The sequence below is a fragment of the Homo sapiens genome, chromosome 12 (genome assembly GCF_000001405.40).
Source record: "Homo sapiens chromosome 12, GRCh38.p14 Primary Assembly".
In the NCBI taxonomy this organism is placed as follows: domain Eukaryota; kingdom Metazoa; phylum Chordata; class Mammalia; order Primates; family Hominidae; genus Homo; species Homo sapiens.
This window is the reverse complement of record NC_000012.12, coordinates 50083641-50102137: the sequence shown is the minus strand read 5'-3', so window position 1 is coordinate 50102137 and position 18497 is coordinate 50083641. Positions and strand designations below refer to the sequence as shown.

General features: G+C 48.7%; 1 protein-coding gene across 11 annotated transcripts, besides 4 other annotated features; it reads right to left on the bottom strand.

Annotated features, from left to right (window-relative positions):
- Positions 1431-16796, bottom strand: SMARCD1 (SWI/SNF related BAF chromatin remodeling complex subunit D1). 11 transcript variants are annotated; one of them, XR_944683.3, is made up of 14 exons: positions 16592-16796; positions 15790-15977; positions 15475-15517; positions 15260-15382; positions 14653-14775; positions 13501-13617; positions 12153-12254; positions 11736-11897; positions 11548-11645; positions 7566-7701; positions 5166-5288; positions 3323-3424; positions 2238-3191; positions 1496-2084 (listed from the first exon to the last, which is right to left on the bottom strand). XR_944683.3 is itself a non-coding variant. In NM_003076.5 (13 exons), exons 1-13 carry the CDS (start codon positions 16766-16768, stop codon positions 3138-3140), a joined length of 1548 nt encoding a protein of 515 aa, NP_003067.3. In that variant the 5' UTR covers positions 16769-16796; the 3' UTR covers positions 1431-3137. The 11 variants fall into 11 exon arrangements, 5 of the variants coding, with proteins under 5 accessions (NP_003067.3, NP_620710.2, XP_005269164.2 ...); XR_944684.3 differs by having other exon boundaries at positions 2573-3191; NM_003076.5 differs by having other exon boundaries at positions 1431-3191.
- Positions 15373-16104: an enhancer, noted in NCBI's record as "H3K4me1 hESC enhancer chr12:50479817-50480548 (GRCh37/hg19 assembly coordinates)". NCBI's record gives its function as "activates a minimal SCP1, AML or CMV promoter by ChIP-STARR-seq in primed H9 embryonic stem cells {active_cell/tissue: H9 hESC(primed)}" and the evidence as "EXISTENCE:reporter gene assay evidence [ECO:0000049][PMID:30033119]".
- Positions 16444-16883: a silencer, noted in NCBI's record as "silent region_4446". NCBI's record gives its function as "represses an Ori minimal core promoter by ATAC-STARR-seq in GM12878 lymphoblastoid cells {active_cell/tissue: GM12878}" and the evidence as "EXISTENCE:reporter gene assay evidence [ECO:0000049][PMID:35858748]".
- Positions 16954-17213: an enhancer, noted in NCBI's record as "active region_6342". NCBI's record gives its function as "activates an Ori minimal core promoter by ATAC-STARR-seq in GM12878 lymphoblastoid cells {active_cell/tissue: GM12878}" and the evidence as "EXISTENCE:reporter gene assay evidence [ECO:0000049][PMID:35858748]".
- Positions 17571-18303: an enhancer, noted in NCBI's record as "H3K27ac-H3K4me1 hESC enhancer chr12:50477618-50478350 (GRCh37/hg19 assembly coordinates)". NCBI's record gives its function as "activates a minimal SCP1, AML or CMV promoter by ChIP-STARR-seq in primed H9 embryonic stem cells {active_cell/tissue: H9 hESC(primed)}" and the evidence as "EXISTENCE:reporter gene assay evidence [ECO:0000049][PMID:30033119]".

Genomic DNA, 18497 nt, shown 5'->3' with positions numbered 1-18497 from the left:
TTCATCAGCCATTCATTACACATGTAATTAGCCTGGGTAAAAACAGATGCCATTTCAATGTCCTTGACATCAATTTTCTCCACTCCTAGTTATCGGCCCAACCACTCCTCTCTGCTTTCCCTTCTCAAGTCTGATAAACCCCAAGTTCCGGAGTAGGAACAGTGGTTGGATTTTTTGGTGGGTTTGATTACATATATTGAACAGGCAATACTAGAATGTTCCCATCCAAACAGGCAAAGGATAATTTTTAAACTACAACTTTGGAAAGTGGTTGTACTCTGATCCTATATTCCAAACCCCATTCTTGCATAATGACAAAGGAAAAAAGTCATGAGCCTCCAAGTGGGAAGCAGGCAGAACTGCAGGCGAGTTTCAAGTGATTGCTAATGGGAATCCCTCCTGAGCTGTCTTCCAAACTCTGCCAAGGAGGGGCTAGTTGTCTACAGTATGAGGATGACAACACAGAACTTCCATGGTGCTCTTAAGAACCAGCTACTCAGGAGGCTGAGGCAGGAAAATCACTTGAACCTGGGAGGCGGAGGTTGCAGTAAGCCGAGAACGCGCCATTGCACTCCAGCCTGGGGAACAAGAACACAACTCCATCTCAAAACAGGCAAACAAAAACTGAACTCTTATTTGAACCATGAAAGCGGAACCTTAGAGTAGCAGGCACAGGCTGGGCACGGTGGTTCACACCTGTAATCCCAGCACTTTGGGAGACCGAGGCGGGCGGATCACGAGGTCAGGAGATCGAGACCATCCTGGCTAACACGGTGAAACCCTGTCTCTACTAAAAAATACAAAAAATTAGCCGGGCATGGTGGCAGGCGCCTGTAGTCCCAGCTACTCGGGAGGCTGAGGCAGGAGAATGGCGTGAACCCAGGAGGCAGAGCTTGCAGTGAGCCAAGATCGCGCTACTGCACTCCAGCCTGGGCAACAGTGAGACTCCGTCTAAAAAAAAAAAAAAAAAAAGAGTAGCAGGCACAAAAAGCAAAAATGTCTTTGGTCGTCCAGATCCTGCCCACATCTAAACAGAAGCCCTGGGGAAGAAGTGAAACTCCTCCAAAGGCGGCTCAGGTTCGTCAAACCTAAGGGATCACGGGCATCTATGGCTCACTCCAGCCAACAAGTGCTCTGGGGAGCTCAGATGGACAAGGGGGAAAATGACTGCCACCAACCTGTTAGTACCTGCCTAGCAAGTCGGGAAAGGGCTCTTAAGATCCAGTGGTGAAGCCCAATAATCCCAACCAGCAACTAGGCTGCTTGGACCACTGGGGCAGACAGCAATCTCTTAAGGTAAGACCCTGAGGTCCACAAAAGTAGAAATCTCATTTTCCACTTTATCTCCCGTGTCTAGCATCACAACTAGCACATAGCAGGTGCTCAATAAATACTTGTCAAATAAAATGAACAAACACTACAAGCGTGGCTAATGGTATTGAAGGAAGAAGAGCTCAGGGAAGAGCTCTCTCACAGTAGGTAGGAGGACCCATCCTTCAGAAGATTCTTTTATTAAAACTGGGTAACATCAATAAGGGGACAGTACAAAAAAAAGTTTGGTCCATGAAAAAAACAATTCAGTTAATAAAAACAGTTATCAACAGGGACACTGTGGGAAGTACTGAGCTTCCTTCTCATGGTTCCAGCCAGGAGGCGGCCAGGGCTCAGCTGCCCCAAGGTTGTCCAGTGTCAACCTTTCAAGGGAGGGAAAATGGCAGGAAGGGGAAGACGGGGAGAAAATTCTGCTGTCCCCAGTGTAGAACAGGGAGGGATTTGGGGGTGGGGGTGTGCTCGCAGGAGCCTGAGGAGGGGGTGGGGAAGCAGGGGCTTTGTCAGTTCTGTGGGTTTAGAGCCCATGCTGAACGGAATTCCCCCTTTGTGCCCAGCTGTCTCCCACCCTTGCTGTGTTGAGTCTGCGAGCCTGGGATATGCTAACTCGGGGGTGATACAACCTGGAAGAAGAATGTGAGGCTCTCCTGGAAAGATGCAAAAACCATCTCAGATCCAAGGGGCCAAGATCACAAGGTCCTGCTGCTACCTGAGGGGTCTGAAGCTTTGAGGGCAGGGGCTGGGGAGTCACAATCCTGTGAGGCAGGGAGAGGGAAGAGTCACAAACCCAACTCAGCGCTATTCTCCAGCCCTAGGCGCTTTCACTCCTCAGTGCCCTAGAAGTCACCAGTAGGTGTCAACTGGGCAGACAAGGGACAGGAAGACAGGGATGGCCCAGGGCTTTTTACCCGTTTGGTTTTAGGCCCGTTTCTCCATTAAGGGATGCAGAGGCAGGGTGGAGTGAGTGAATGAATGAGTCACATCTCCAAACAGCAGGAAGGAACAGCCTCTGCTGGCAATGACAGTTCCCCAGATGAGATCCCTGGGGCTCTGAAAGGGAAAGGCAAGATTCCCCCACCCAAATGCCCGGGATTAGGGCAGATCTGAGGGAATCACAAAGGGCAGCCACAGGGAGTGTCTGGGAGGGAGCAATAAAGAACAAAACTCCAATACTGATGTGGACCCCAACTAAGGAGTGAGAGAAGCACTGACAGCAGGCCAACCCAGAGGGCTGGGGACTGACCTGGGGCTCAGTGGAGCCCAAGAACCAGGGTTTCTGTAGTGCTACAGGGCAACAAGTGAAGGGAGAGTTTGTTCCAAACCTGTGGAGGGAAGGAAGGAAATTGGATTCTGTTATCAGGAGAGCCAAGATCAACTAGCTTATAGAGTGCCCACAGGCCTGAGTCTTGGAGAAGGAGCGAAAGCTCCCAACTCCTGGGTCTCTGAAGGGCAGGATCAGTTAGCTGGTCCCCTTGAAGACCACCTGGCCTGAGGCCCAATCCATTCCAAGCACTCATTACCACTACATGTTCTCTCTCTAACACTATCTAGAGGTCCTATGTAGACCAGGGGAGGGTACAGGCACATGGGAACTTTGTGGGGCAAAGGGAAGCTGGGGGTGGGAAGAGATAGGGTGAAAGAAGAGGATAACAGGTGTCTTGTGAGACCCTCTTCATTCTGGTGTTGTCCTTGAACCAACAGCATCCCCTGGAACGCCCCAAGCAAGACCAAGGCAGATACTATGAGGCAGGCAGCACAGGGCCCAAATCAAGAATTGGTGCAGTCGAATCAGGGCTGTGGGAGAGGCCCTATGTATTCCGGATTCCCAGGGCTTGCTCTAATTCTTGTCGTCTCTGCTGCACCTAAGGAGAAAATAGTGAAGGGAGTGGAAGATGAGACAAACCAGAAGTTGGTATCTAACACCACTGACCCCCATCAGGGGTGAAAACCCCGTGCCTTTTGTCAATTTCCCCCGTGCACCCCATGTACTTACCTTGGAGTAGAAGTATCGGCACACAGCCTCCTGAGCCCAGGGCTGGAAGTAGAACTCAGCTCGGCGCTCCTCCTCTGGGTTACCCACCACATCAGTCATTGTCTGAGGGAAATGGAGATGCAGGGTGGAGGAAGAGAGAGGAGAAAAGGCTTGTTTCCTTCCTTCACACCCATTATTGGGTAAATTGTATCCTTCCCCAAAATGTTGAAGTCTAACCAACCCCTAGTACCTGTGAATGTGACCTTATTTGGAAATAGGGTCTCTACAGATGCTCAAGTTAAGATGAGGTCATTAGAGTACCCCCTAATATGACCGGTAGGTTCCCTTATAAAGAGGGGAAATTTAGACATGGAGACAGACACATACAGAAGGAAGACAACGTGAAGTCACACAGAGACCACCACCTACAAGCCAAGGAATGCCTGAGGTACCAGAAGCTGAGAGATGCACAGAACAGAGTCTCCCTCCCAGCTCGCGGAAGGAAGCAGTGCTGCCCACACTGATTTTGGACTTCCAGCCTCCACAACTGTGAGACAAGCCTGTTGTTTGAAACTGCCCAGTTTGTGGTAGTTTGCTACAGCAGCCTCAGCAAACTGATACAACACCCAGTCACCTCTGCAATCAACAAGTCGTTGCCTTGTTCAGGGATCTTTCCTGGCATCCCTTTTTCCTTGCTCCTCTGCTCAGCCTCTCTAACTCGTCACAGTCAGCACAGGAGGGGTGACAACGGATGAGTTCATACTCTGTGCCCATTCCTATCTTCTTGTCTGAGCTTACTGTGCTCCCCTTTCTGGGAACGTCTTCAAATCCCAAATTTTCCATGAAGCCTTCCCCAGAGATTCTAGTCTCACTGATCTCCCTTATCTGAATCATCTTATTGGTCCTGGTCAGTCTAATAATGTCTTTTTTTTTTTTTTTTTTTTTGAGATGGAGTCTCACTCTGTCAGCCAGGCTGGGAGTGCAGTGGCGCAATCTCGGCTCACTGCAGCCTCTACCTCCCAGGTTCAAGCGATTCTCCTGCCTCAGCCTCCTGGGTAGCTGGGATTACAGGCACCCGCCACCACGCCTGGCTGATTTTTTTATTTTAGTAGAGATGGGGTTTCACCATGTTGGCCAGGCTAGTCTCAAACTCCTGACCTCAGGTGATCTGCCCTCCTCAGCCTCCCAAAGTGCTGGGATTACAGGCGTGAGCCACCGCACCTGGCCTGATAATGTCTTATGTGGTTTACTACTTTGTATCATACTAGCCTAGTTTCTTTTTTTTGAGACAGAGTTTCGCTCTGTCACCCAGGCTGGAGTGCAGCGGCACGATCTTGGCTCACTGCAACCTCTGCTTCCTGGGTTCAAGCAATTCTCCTGCCTTAGCCTCCCAAGTAGCTGGGATTACAGGCGCGCACCACCACGCCCAGCTAAGTTTTTGTATTTTTAGTGGAGACGGGGTTTCGCCATGTTGGCCAGGCTGGTCTCAAACTCCTGACCTCAAGCGATCCGTCGGCCTCGGCCTCCCAAAGTGCTGGGATTACAGGTGTGAGCCACCATGCCCGGCTATACTAGCCTAGTTTCTTCAGACAGAATGTAGGCTGCTTTGAAAGCAGAGATCAGGTCTTCCACTCTGTATCCCTGACAAGATGAAGCACAGTGACAGACAAAGTAAGCACTAAATCAACACTTGATGGCTCTGCCCCCATTTCCCTGCTTAATTGCAAAATGGACCCTGGAACATGCTAAAGAAAAATCTGGCCCCTCACTCCTTCCTCTGGGTCTCCTACCAGCTGCTACATGAATAAAGCAGCTGTGCACCTCACTGACCTAAGTCCCTTCAGACCTCTCCTAGGTTCTTTACCTTGAGGTCCCTGCACTGGGACTGAAGCCAGTCATTGATGAAACCCTGAGGGTCTCTGGCAAAGCTCAGCATGAACTCCCGCTGAGTCTTCAGCTGGTTGATGGTTTCTATTGTCTCATGGATCTGAAAGGAAGAACGAAGCTCATACCATTTTCAAACTAGAAAAATGAGAAGTTAAATGGCAGGTGGTGCCTGACAACTCCACATGCCACTTCCAACCTAGTCACCATGCTGCCCACAGCTGGCACCATCATATAGAGCTCCAACTGCTCCGACCCTTGGCATTCTTTCAGCAAGTAATTTGCCCTTGTTTCTGTCTCTCTGTATACCCCATGTGAGGAAAGCTTTCCTTTTGGTCTCCACATTGCCCACTATGGGCAAAGCTACATGATGAATACTTACTCCACAGCACAAATGGGTCCAAAAGTGTTCTCAGGAAGAAAAGGACTGGCATATGGGGCTGTCTCATAAGCTCTCATCTCTGGGTTTTGTTCTCAACTCTCTTCTCATTCTGCATACTCCTCCCGGCAATTTCTTTGACTTGTATATCTTCCATTACCAGTGACAGGGTAATGAGTCCCCAGTCTGCAGCCCAGAGTCTATCTTCTATACTCCAACCAATCCAACTGCTTAAACTTGACATTAAACTCACTACCGTTTCTCCAATACCTGCTCCTCCTCCTCCCCTCTTCCCAGTCATAGTAAATACTACTGTCCACCCAAGCTAGAGACCTGGGAGGCATCATAACATTTCCTTCTCATTCATCCCTCACTCTAATAATCCAAACAGTGGCCAAATTCCTTCAATTCCACCTTGACACCTCTCAAATCTATCTACTTATCTCCACCCTCACTGTCGGGACTGTAAATTTAGGGCCTCAACACGTCTCACATGGATTACTGCACCAGCCTCCTAACTGGGCTTCCTGCCTCCAGCCCTGCCCTCTTGACAAATTATTCTCCATCCACCTTCCTGCAAGTGATCATTCTATATACAAATAGCATCAGTCCCTCCACTGGTAATGATCTCTCAACCAGCTGTCTTACACAGTCTTCGGGATGAAACATAAACCAGTTTTCCCTGAATCAAAGGTTCTTCATAATTAGGCATCTGGCTCCCTATCTAGCTTTCCTTCCCAAAACATCCCGTCCTCGGCACTCTATGCTGCATCTAGCATACTAAATGGCTCGTACTTCTTTAAGACACCAGGCTCTCTCTCTCTTCTCTGGACCTTTACATGCCCTATTCCCTCTTTCTGGAACGTCTTCTGCCTCCTATGCCCCCAGCACTACTATCCTTTTTGCCCTTTCATTAACACCCACTTTGTCCTTCAAGATTTAGTTGGGGCCGGGCGCGGTGGCTCACGCCTGTGATCCCAGCACTTTGGGAGGCCGAAGCGGGTGGATCACCTGAGGTCAGGAGTTCAAGACCAGCCTGACCAATATGGTGAAACTCCGTCTCTACTAAAAATACAAAAATTAGCCGGGCGTAGTGGCAGGTGCCTGTAGTCCCAGCTACTCAGGAGGCTGAGACAGGAGAATTGCTTGAACCCAGGAGGCGGAGGTCGTAGTGAGCCAAGATCATGCCATTGCACTCCAGCCTGAGCGGCAGAGCAAGACTCCATCTCAAAAAAAAAAAAGAAAAGATTTAGTTGGGGCATCAACTCTTCCAGCAAAGCCTCCCTTTCTCCTTCATGTTCCCAAAGCACTTTTGGCTTTATTTGCAAGGACTGCGTCTAGTAATAACAACCCAGATAACAATAATAGTAGCAGAAGTTACCATTTGTTGTTTTTATGTGCCAGATACAGTCTCAAGTCTTTACACACACTCCCTCATTTAATCGTCATAGCAACCTGATTAAAATAGGTACTATGGGCTGGGCGTGGTGGCTCACGCCTGTAATCCCAGTACTTTGGGAGGCTGAGGCGGGCAGATCACTTGAGGTCAGGAGTTGGAGACCAGCCTGGCCAACATGGTGAAACCTCGTCTCTACTAAAAATACAAAAATCAGCCGGGTGTGATGGTGGGTGACTGTAATCCCAGCTACTTGGGAGGCTGAGGCAGGAGAATCGCTTGAACCCAGGAAGTGGAGGTTGCCGTGAGGCGGGATTGCACCACTGCACTCCAGCCTGGGCGAGAGAGCGAGACTCCTGAAAAGAAAAAAGGAAAAAAAAGGTACTATGGTCTCTATTCCACAAATCAGAAACCGAGGCTCAGTGCTGTTGAGAGTATCCCCACAATCAGAATTCATTTGAGTCTGGCTCAAACCAGCACCAAGCACAGTACCTGACATATACTGGGTGTCACCGTATTTTGAATGAACACTAAGAATCAAAAGGAGGCCTTGAAGCTGTGATAGGGGCTGGTGGTACCCAACTATCCAGGGCACAGACCCCTACCTTGTTGTCTAGAGTAGCAATCTCCTGTTGGCTGGCAGTGGACAGCAGAAAAGAATTCATCTGGGTCTTCAAGGTGTCATCCACTTCAACATCAATGTCATAACAAGCTGTCTTTTTCTGATCATTCGGGTCAACACTGGACAGGAAACCAAAGGAGCCTGGTAAAGAGCTTGTCCCCTAAGACCTAATTACACAGGGTCAAAAAGATGACCCAGGATGAAGAGAAAAGGGGCTAACTGTAAAAGGGCCCGAGAACTTTCGGGTGTGACAGAAATGTTCTACACTTTATTGTGGCAGCTACATGGTGTACAGATCTGGCAAAAATCTTCAAACTACACTTTCAATTGGTATAATTTGTTATATATAAATTATACTTCAATAAAGTTGATTTATTTAAAAAGTCAATGGTAAAAATTCAAGCAGTACAAAAGGTATCCTGTGAAAAGTAGTTCCTTTCTCTCCAGAGGAAATCACTGCTACAGTCTCCTATATATCTTTCTCCCTTTAAAAAAAATATTTGGCAGCCAGGCGTGGTGGCTTATGCCTGTAATCCCAGCACTTTGGGAGGCCAAGGTGGGCGATCACCTGAGGTCAGGAACATGGTGAAACCCCATTTCTACTAAAAACTAGCCGGACGTGGTAGCTCACGCCTGTAATCCCAGCTACTGGGGAAGCTGAGGCAGGAGAATCTCTTGAACCCGGGAGGCAGAGGATATAGTGAGCCAAGTTCATGCCACTATACTTCAGCCTGGGTGACAGAGTGAGACGATCTCTAAAAATAAAAAAAATTCGGCGAGCCATGGTGGCTCATGCCTGTAATCCTAACACTTTGGGAGGCTCAGGTAAGAGGACTGCTTGAGCCCACGAGTTTGAGACCAGCCTACACCACACAGACCCCAGTTTCTACAAAAAATTTCAAAACAATTCCTGGGCGTGGTGGCACACATCTGTGGTCCCAGCTGCTCAGGAGGCGAGGTGGGAGGATCACTTGAGCCCAGGAGGTCGAGGATGCAGTGAGCCATGATTACACCACTGCACTCCAGCCTGGGCAACAGAGAGAGACTCTGTCTCAAAAAAGAAATAATAATAATAATTTTTAAAACTTTTTTGGCCAGGTGCGGTGGCTCACACCTGTAATCCCAGCATTCTGGGAAGCCAACACGGGCAGATCACTCAAGGCCAGGAATTCAACGCTAGTGTGGCCAACATGGCGAAACCTCAATACAAAAAGTGGTGCACGCCTGTAATTACAACTACTTGGGAGGCTGAGGCACGAGAATTGCTTGAACCTGGGAGGCAGCGGTTGCAGAGAGCGAAGATCATGCCACTGCACTCCAGCCTGGATGACAGAGCAAGACTCTGTATGTTTAAACAAACGAAGCCTTTCTTTTTTTTTTTAGATGGAGTCTTGCTCTGTTGTCTATGCTGGAGTGCAGTGGCGCAGTCTTGGCTCACTGCAACCTCTGCCTCCCCGGTTCAAGTGATTCTCCTGCCTCAGCCTCCCAAGTAGCTGGGACTACAGGCGCCCACCACCATGCCCAGCTAATTTTTGTATTTTTAGTAGAGATGGGGTTTCACCATATTAGCCAGACTGGTCTTGAACTCCTGACCTTGTGATCCACCCACCTTGGCCTCCCAAAGTGCTGGGATTACAGACGTGAGCCACTGCGCCCAGCCAAACAAATCTTTTTTTATTGTTTCAGAGACAGGATTTTACTCTGTTGCCCAGGCTGGACTCGAACTCCAGGACTCAAGTGATCTACCCACCTCAGCCTCTGGAGTAGCTGGGTCTACAGGAATGTGCCACCGTGCCTGGCTTTCTCCCTTTTAAACTAAAATTGACCCCAAAAATAAAGTCAAACACAAAATTAAAAGTGGTCTAACTTTAAGCATAGGAATATAGGACAGACCAACTTCTACTGACCTAATTTATAGGTTGAGGAGTTACTACTGTGTAAGTGAAGGTTCAGGGTCTTATCTTTTTTCTTTTTTTCCCCTCCCTCTCTGTCATCTTGTAGGTTCAGGGTCAAAAGAAAAAAAAAAAAAAAGCCCACCGGGTGTGGTGGCTCACACCTGTAATCCCAGCACTTTGGGAGGCCGAGGCGGGTGGATCACGTGACCAAGAGATCGAGACCATCCTGGCCAACATGGTAAAACCCCGTCTCTACTAAAATACAAAAAATTAGCTGGGCGTGGTGGCATGCGCCTGTAATCCCAACTACTTGGGAGGCTGAGGCAGGAGAATCGCTTGAACCCAGGAGGCAGAGGTTGCAGTGAGCCGAGATTGTGCAACAGAGTGAGATTCTGTCTGTCTCAAAAAAAAAAAAAAAAAAAAAAGAAAGAAAGAAAAGAAAAGAAAAGAAAGCCCTTACCAGAATTAATATGGAATAAAGGAAGGAAGACAAAGAGACTATATCCAACTACAGAGACACGCTGCTTTGAGAAGGAAATTTTCTTCACCCCCTATCTAGAGATGCCTTGCTCTCCAGCTTCTAAACAAAAAAGTGAACAGAGGTAATGGAATTGGGAGGCTCGGACTAGAATGCTGTACCATCCAGAGAAAAGATGGCTGCTGAGCCCTTCCATGAGTGAAGAGCTGGTAGATGTTTAACAACTGATCTTCCAAAGGAGAGTGGGAGGAAGTGCCCAGATGTGTGGCATTTGCTGATCTTTGGGCTTTAAATATTCTGATTTCAGCCGGGCGCAGTGGCTCACACCTGTAATCCCAGCACTTTGGGAGGCCAGGTGGGCGGATCACCTGAGGTCAGGAGTTTGAGATCAGCCTGGCAAACATGGTGAAGCCCCGTCTCTACTAAAAATATAAAAAAATTAGCTGGGCATGGTAGCAGGTGCCTGTAATCCCAGCGACGTGGGAGGCTGGGGAGGGAGAATTGCTTGAACTCAGGTGGCGGAGGTTTCAGTGAGCTGAGATCATGCCATTGCACACCAGCCTGGGCAACAAGAGCAAAACTACATCTCAAAACAAAACAAAACAAAAGGCCGGGCGCGGTGGCTCACGCCTGTAGTCCCAGCACTTTGGGAAGCCAAGGCGGGTGGATCACCTGAGGTCGGGAGTTCAAGACCAGCCTGACCAACATGGAGAAACCTTGTCTCTACTAAAAATACAAAATTAGCCAGGCATGGTGGCACATGCCTGTAATCCCAGCTATGTGGGAGGCTACGGCAGGAGAATCACTTGAACCCAGTAGGCAGAGGTTACGGTGAGCCAACATTGTGCCATTGCACTCCAGCCTGCATAACAAGAGTGAAACTCCATCCCAAAAAAAAAAAAAAAAATTCTGATTTCAAGCTACCAACATTACATTACTGTTCATGGGAAGAGATGCACAGTAACACATAAGCACATCATTATATCATATTTCCGCCAGATGGATACAACAGGCAAAAATAACCTCAAGAGCACAAATACAGGCTGGGCGCGGTGGCTCATGCCTGTAATCCGAGCACTTTGGGAGGCCGAGGCGGGCAGATCACGAGGCTCGGCGGGCAGATCACGAGGTCAGATTGAGACCATCCTGGCTAACATGGTGAAACCCCATCTCTACTAAAAATACAAAAAATTAGCCAGGTGTGGTGACGGGTGCCTGTAGTCCCGGCTACTCGGGAGGCTGAGGCAGGAGAATGGCGTGAACCCAGGAGGCGGAGCTTGCAGTGAGCCGAGATCGCGCCACTGGACTCCAGCCTGGGCAACAGAGTGAGACTCTGTCTCCAAAAAAAAAAAAAAAAAAAAGCACAAATACAATAAAATGTAATAATTAGGAAGTTATACATTTTGAATATATGTTACCCACTTTTAGTCTAATATATTTAATTATAAGTTTATGTAATTTAATTGTAAGTAACAGTGTAACAGTTGTGTTTAACAACCTGTTTGCAAAATTCCTGAAAATTTGACAACTGGCTTGTGCAAATCGGCACAAGGCAGCTCCGGCACAGCACTGCCTCCCACACACAGGCCTACCTGATGACATGATTAATGATGATAGGTTCTGGTGGCATAAGCAAGGCATGGAGCCGCTGAGGGATCTCTGAAAACTTCATACGTTGAGACTCAAAGATCTGTAGCAAAGGGGAGAAGCACGAGGTTAGCAGTTTGAGCATAACTAGTGTTCTAATGGATTCTAGCAAAAGAATGGGTCCATTACTTACCTGCTGCAGGTACTTGTCACAGATGACAAACTCCCGCTCGTGAGGGTCCTGGAGCTTATGTGTCTTAATATATTGCCACAGTGCTTGGATGATCACTGGACGAGTCTGGGTATGGATGCCCAGGAGTCGAGCTAGGCGGGGGTCTAATTTAAACTGGGGAGGCTGCAGGGAACCAAAGTATAGGGGATGAAGCTAGTTAGCTGCGTCTATATGCAGCAATACATTCAAGCTATTCAACAAATAATGTAGTGCTTTTTCTGGGACAGAAAAATTCTAGGAAGAACTCAGAGATGACTAAGACTCTATCTCTGTGCCAAAGTGGCAAATTATTCACAACTAGACATAAACTCTTTAAAGTGAGACTGCTGACGGTATGTGGCTGTGAAAGCTGGACCCCCTCACACCACCACAGAATACCTGGTAATCCAGCATCAGTAGGACAGTACACCGTACATTCACGTCTCCCGGCCGCTTCACCTGAAAGCCATCGGTCTCCTGGGTAGTGGCGGTCCTGTGCCACTACAGAGAGGAAGATGTCAGGGGGTGCTCTCCCAGAGGAAGAGCTGGGGTGGGAGGGAAGAGCTTCTGTAATGACTGAATATTCAACTTTGATTACTGAGGCTACTGGAGAAGAGTAATAGCATGAGGCATTTTAAAAAACTGCATATGGCTTTGGGATTACTGTCTGTGTATAAGTAGATTAACCTTTTAATTGTTTGTGGTTGATTTAAATAAGCCTCAATGTCCAGTGATAATTTTATCCACAAAATGGATAATACACATGTGAACAGTAACATAGCTATCATTTACTGAGTACTTACTATGTGTGACAGTATTCTAAGACATTTACCTGGATTATCTCACTTCCCGAACATCTATACAAGATAGGCACAATTATACTTATTTTACAGATGAGAAAACTAATGCTCAGCATAATAAAGTAACTTGCCTAGGTCAAACAGCCAGTAAGTGGCGGAGCCACCATTTGAGCTCTGATGTGTCTGATTCTACAGTCCACATTCTTAGCCACTATACTCTACTGCTATAAAATTAAATATATTTACAAGTTTCTATTGATTCTATGACTTACTTCCCTTATTAGATGGTAAAGACCTCCCCATGTCTCTTAGTGGTTGAGGTTAAGGGGCTGCAGCTACACTGGCAAAGAAAGGAGCAGGTTAGGTTCACTTGGAGTGCTGGCTGGACTGTCATTCTGGTTTTGCCTGTTTCCCAAAGAATACTGTTGCTAACATGGGCTTCAAAACGTTGTGCAATCAGGCATCATAATAAAGGATTTTTGGTGAATTGGAATGTAAATGTAAACAGAGCAGAGACCAAGAGGAAGTCCCAGATCTATAATGGTAACCTTGGCAAGTACTAGTACCCTATCAGTCAATCACTCTAATTACAGCAACTGCTGCCAGGAAAAATGGATAACTACATCTCACCATTATTAACAAGCAAGATACAGAGATGGCCTGGCACATACAAGAGGCCACCAGTAGACTTTCCCTTGAAAGAGGTGGCAGTGACCAGGATAGTAACATTAAAAAGATGGGACAAGTTAGGTTACAAGAGCCCTTGGTCCTAACTAAACATGCTAGTGCCACCTAGAGGTCAATGTGCAAACTGTACACCTGGAGCGGTACTGTGTACACCTAGAGTGACTACTTTATACCTCCCCATCTCCTTAGACATTAAAATACGGCTCCCAAGTCCATCATCCTCCAATCAGAGTCAAAGCCTAGAAGGCAGAGCTACTCACTTCTACCAGATGGTTGTCTGGCCCATACAGGTCTTTGTCCAGTTCAATCACCAAGGACTTAAAAAAGGAAGAGAACTTCCTCTTTTGTTTAGTGGCATCATATTTGGACAAGGCTGACTAGAGGAGAGAAAATAAAAATCACATTAGGAAAGGCCAGAAGAAACTTCCCAAGACAAAATCCTATGAAAAAGGAACCCCAACAACAATGGAAAAAAACTCAAAAAATATCTTCTGAATATCTCTTAAGAGAGATAGGCAAAGTAGGCATCTGCAGGTATTAAACCAATCATAGTAGCAACAGAACCCTGAAGAAGCAGCCTAGAACACATAGAGGGTCACTGTTTTACCCATCTCATTTGCCCAAGGGAAATGAGGCAAGTTAAGCAAACCATTGCACATAACTAAGCGAGTTTGAACAGAGAAAAGTCTGACTCTAGAGGGGAAATGAATCACAGGCAATAAGCAGCCAGAACAAAAACAGCTTTATTTGGACAGAATGACACCACCAGCAGATGGACCGGACCTATATAGAGAAGGAGGCTCTGACACTGAGCCCTGGTTCTCCTGCAAAAGTGCATTCCAACTAGCTTGCCTGCGAGCAGCTAAAAATAAGAGCCAGAGAATGTAAGGGAATGAGAGAAAGGTGAGCTTCCCCGAGGAGCTTCTGGGGTGGGAAGTTTGGGGACTATCACCTGTCAGCTGATGCTCCCCAGGAAGCAACAAAGAGCCTGTCAAGAGAAATCTATCCTACTTAAACTGTGGGGTGCCTCCAGTGAAAGTTGAGAAGATGGAGATACCACAAGGACTCAGAGAGGAAACACAGCCTCAAATTAAGTGCAAACTCGATTAAAAAAAAAAAACTAAATAATCTACAGATATGGCTAAATCCAATGGCCAGCAGCACCAAGAGGAAGGTAAACCACAAATCAGATCCCAGGACAATAAGGTTCTCCATATGATACCAGTGAGGGCCAAAGGTGTGGGGGCAAACACAAAGGACCACTGTCTTTCAGTGCAGGGAACAGTGTCCCTCTCCTTACTGCTCCCAAAAGGAGCTGTGAGCACCAGTTAGGCTTCCTGCTGACCAGACAACACTGTTCATTCCCAGCAGCTCCCACCCTAGATGCCAACCATTGTGGACCTTGAACTCACATCCTCCAGGAGCCGTCCTTCTACCCGAAGCTCCCAGGAAGCCACCGTCCCTTCCCCATCCTCGGCATCTGACTTAGCCGGATTGAAAGTGTTAGAAATGAAAATTCGCAGCTTCCGTTTTTGCTGAGGAAGGCAGAAACAGGATTGATCGTGGGGCTTCAGTGGTCTGATGTTGAAGACAACGGTCTCCCCAAACCCCAAAATTACTCCTAACAGACTGGCTTACTGTCTACCCAGTCCCTTGGGTGGGTGGATGAAGATTCCATTTAGAAGAGGAGTACTGGCCATCAGCCTAAGTACAAGTGCATATAGTGGGATGCCAGGTGGACAAAGTCATGCAAGGTGCCAGGTTCCCAAGGTAGCAGAGCAGTTACAGCGAAAACATGGACAAGGGTATATTTGTAGTGCAAGAGACATCAAGAGCCCCTCCCCCTTTGCCATTCTGTTCTTATCCTCCTAATGTAATTCTCAGTTTGTAGGCGGAAGGGAGAGATGCAATTTAAATGCCAAGGAGAGTTGTGCTGTGCCTTTGATTTCTCATCCTAATTCTGCTGAAGGTTCCTGGGTCCTCTCCTTTGGCTCTCTGCCTAGTACTTTCCTGTGTTACCTTGATGGGACGTTTCAAGGCCTCTTGGATATCTAGCCGTTTCCTCATGATAGTCTGGTCCAGTTTCCTTTCAAAAGCCAAGAGATCCATATAGGCCTGGGATTCTGGTACCAGTTCACGAATCTTAGGAACAGAAAAATTAATTGAAATCTAGGATGATCATCTCTATACTCAAACTCACCACACTTTCCAGAAGACATATAGCCTGGACTCACCCTTTGAGGTAGAATTTTGTCAGCCATCTTCTTTTTCTTTGCACTGTTGGGAATAAATACTATTATCAGGTTGGGACAGAACTAGTCAGAACGTGAAAATAAGCTGTCAGCACGTCCATTTATAGTAATGTGAAGGGACTGCAAAGCTTCTCTCAAAGAACTACCACCACCACCACCACCACCAAGCATTCTCAAGGATGAGTTCTGTAGCACCATCTGCTGACACAGCACCACCACTTCTTGGTTCAGGTACTCCCACCACCTGTGTCCTCCCAGGCTCCCTCCCTCCCTCCCTCTGCCCCAGGATCATCTTACTTGTGGTTTCGATTTTGGACCGCCTGCTGCTGGACCTGCTGGATCTGCTGAGGGGCAGGTCTCTTGCGGGACTGATCCATCCCTGACTGGGCCAGGCCAGGTCGGACTGAAGGGTTCCCCCCATAGCCAGGGGGTCCCATGGAAGGTCCCTGAGGTGTCATTCGGCTGCCTGGCAACATACCTGGTCTCTACAGAGGGGAGAGGACCCAGAGATGTCATGGTTTCACCTGCTAAACCCCATCAAGAAAGAAAAGCAGGGAACGCCTGAGATCTTTGAATGAAGTAAGGTTTAGGGATGGAATGGAGGACAATGAGAGGAGAACCCTTTGCTCCAGTAGTGACTCCATAGAAAAACAGAGTCCAAAAGCTAAGCGAGAGCCAGATTATACTCAAATTCTCAGTCTATTTTGGATGGGACACATCGGACATCGCCAGTTCCACATTTACTCTGCTAGCTACTATCTCTTTAGAAGCTGACCTCAATTTGTCAGCTACACGTTCTGTGTTCCTCTGATCACTGGAGCTGCTCAAGCCCCTTTGCACTCCGGCCCTCATACAGGTATCCCTGGACCCACTTCACCCACCCAGGTTCTCTACCGACTCCCCAGGGAAACAATGCCCCTAGGAGCAGGTGTGTAACTGCCTCCCCCTCTCTTTCTGCGCACTGCCTCCCCCAACCCCCACCCAGAGCCCGAACCCCTCCCAAGGGAGTCCCTCCTACTTCTCCCCCCACCCCTGTCACTCCCATGTCCCCGCTCGGCCCCGCCCCCGGCCCGCGCGCCCCTCCTCCTGCCCCACTCACCGGATAGGCCGCTCCGGGCATCGGGGAGCGGTACAGCCCTTGACCCGGAGCCGGGCCCATTCGCACAGGAGGCCCCGGAGTTCCGCCCGGGCCCAAGGCAGCAGCCGCGCCCGCCCCTCCTGAGGCTCCGGCGCCGCCGCTTGGAGCCACAGACTGGAAACCCGCCCGGGCCGCCATCTTCCCGGAGCCGCCGATGCAGCCGCACAAAGAACCGGAACCGGAACTCCCCCCGCCCCCCGAGCGCCCCCCGAGCGCCCGCCTGTTCCCCCGGCCGGCCGGCCGGCACGGGAGGCTCAGGGCAGCGAGACTATGGGATAGAGCGGGGCGACTAGCGGAAAAGGCGTGCTGGCCACGCCCTCCCGCCTTCACGGTCCGGGAGGGAAAACCATAGAGAAGAGCTCTGCAATAGAGAGGCCGCGTGAGCGGGCGCCCCCAGGCCGACGGGAGGAAGACAAGGACCTGGAAAGGGGGACGGACCACAGCCTCAGCCCCAGTCTCAACCCCAACTCGAGCCCTCTGATGAAGAGGGGCTTGGAGTAATAGCTTCATCTTGGCGCATGGCGTTAACTTTCCAAAACGCTTTGACTGCTTTTCGTTTCGTTTTCTTACTGCTATAACTATCAGGGGCTGAGGAGGGAAACACAGTTTATTCCATTTTACAAATGGGAAAGCTGAACTCACAGGTGAATGACTTGGCAAAGGTCAACCAGCAAGTTAGCCATAAAGCCGAAGCCAAGATTCCAGATACCCTTGCTCATAGCCCGGGACTCATTCCACAGATAAAGTGCCTCAATAAGTACCTCACGTGGGAACTTCATCCTAACTTTCTCTCTGACCTAACCTGCTTCCGGATTATTATTTTTTATTTTTTATTTTTTTTTAGATGAGGTCTGTCTCTCTCTCGCCCAAGCTGGAGTGCAGTGGCACCATCTCAGCTCACTGCAACCTCCGCCTCCCAGGCTCAAGTGATCCTCCCAACTCAGCCTACCAAGTAGCTGGGACCACAGGCATGCACCACCATGCCAGACTGTTTTGTATTTTTGGTAGGGATGGGGTTTCGCCATGTTGCCCAGGTTGGTCTCGAACTCCTGAGCTCAAGCGATCTGTGCTCCTCAGCCTCCCAAAATGCTGGGATTACAGGTGTGAGCCATTGTGCCTGGCCTCAGATTTTTTTTTTTTTAAATATTAAAAAATAGGGATGGGGGGCTGGGCACGGTGGCTCATGCCTGTAATCCCAGCACTTGGGAGGCCCAGGCGGGTGGATCATGAGGTCAGGAGATCGAGACCATCCTGGCTAACACGGTGAAACCCCGTCTCTACTAAAAACACAAAAAAATTAGCCGGGCGTGGTGGCGGGCGCCTGTAGTCCCAGCTACTCGGGAGGCTGAGGCAGGGGAATGGTGTGAACCCGGGAGGCGGAGCTTGCAGTGAGCCGAGATCGCGCCACTGCACTCCAGCCTGGGCGACAGAGCGAGACTCCATCTCAAAAAAGAAAAAAAAAATAGGGATGGGGGTTTCACTATGTTGCATAGGCTGATCTCGAACTCCTGGCCGCAAGTGATCCACCTGTCTCAGCCTCCCAAAGTGTTGGGATTACGGGCATGAGCCACCGTGCCAGCCTGCTTCCAGATTTTATGATAAGTTCCAGTTTATCTTGAATTTTGACTCTGCTCTCTCTCTCTAAAGCATCCTTTGTATTGGGGATTCTGTTTTGGAACTTTGTTGCCTTTGACTTCTCCCTCTTTCCCTGCCCAGTGGTTCAAACTATTCCTGATATAATGGTCAGCCTGTCCCATCCCAGGGGGACCACAGTGTCCCTACTCAAACCTTCTCCTTACTCATCCCCTAATTGGCCCCAAACCAAGCTCAGCTTTAGGCACTTAGTGAGAATATCTAAATACTTTTT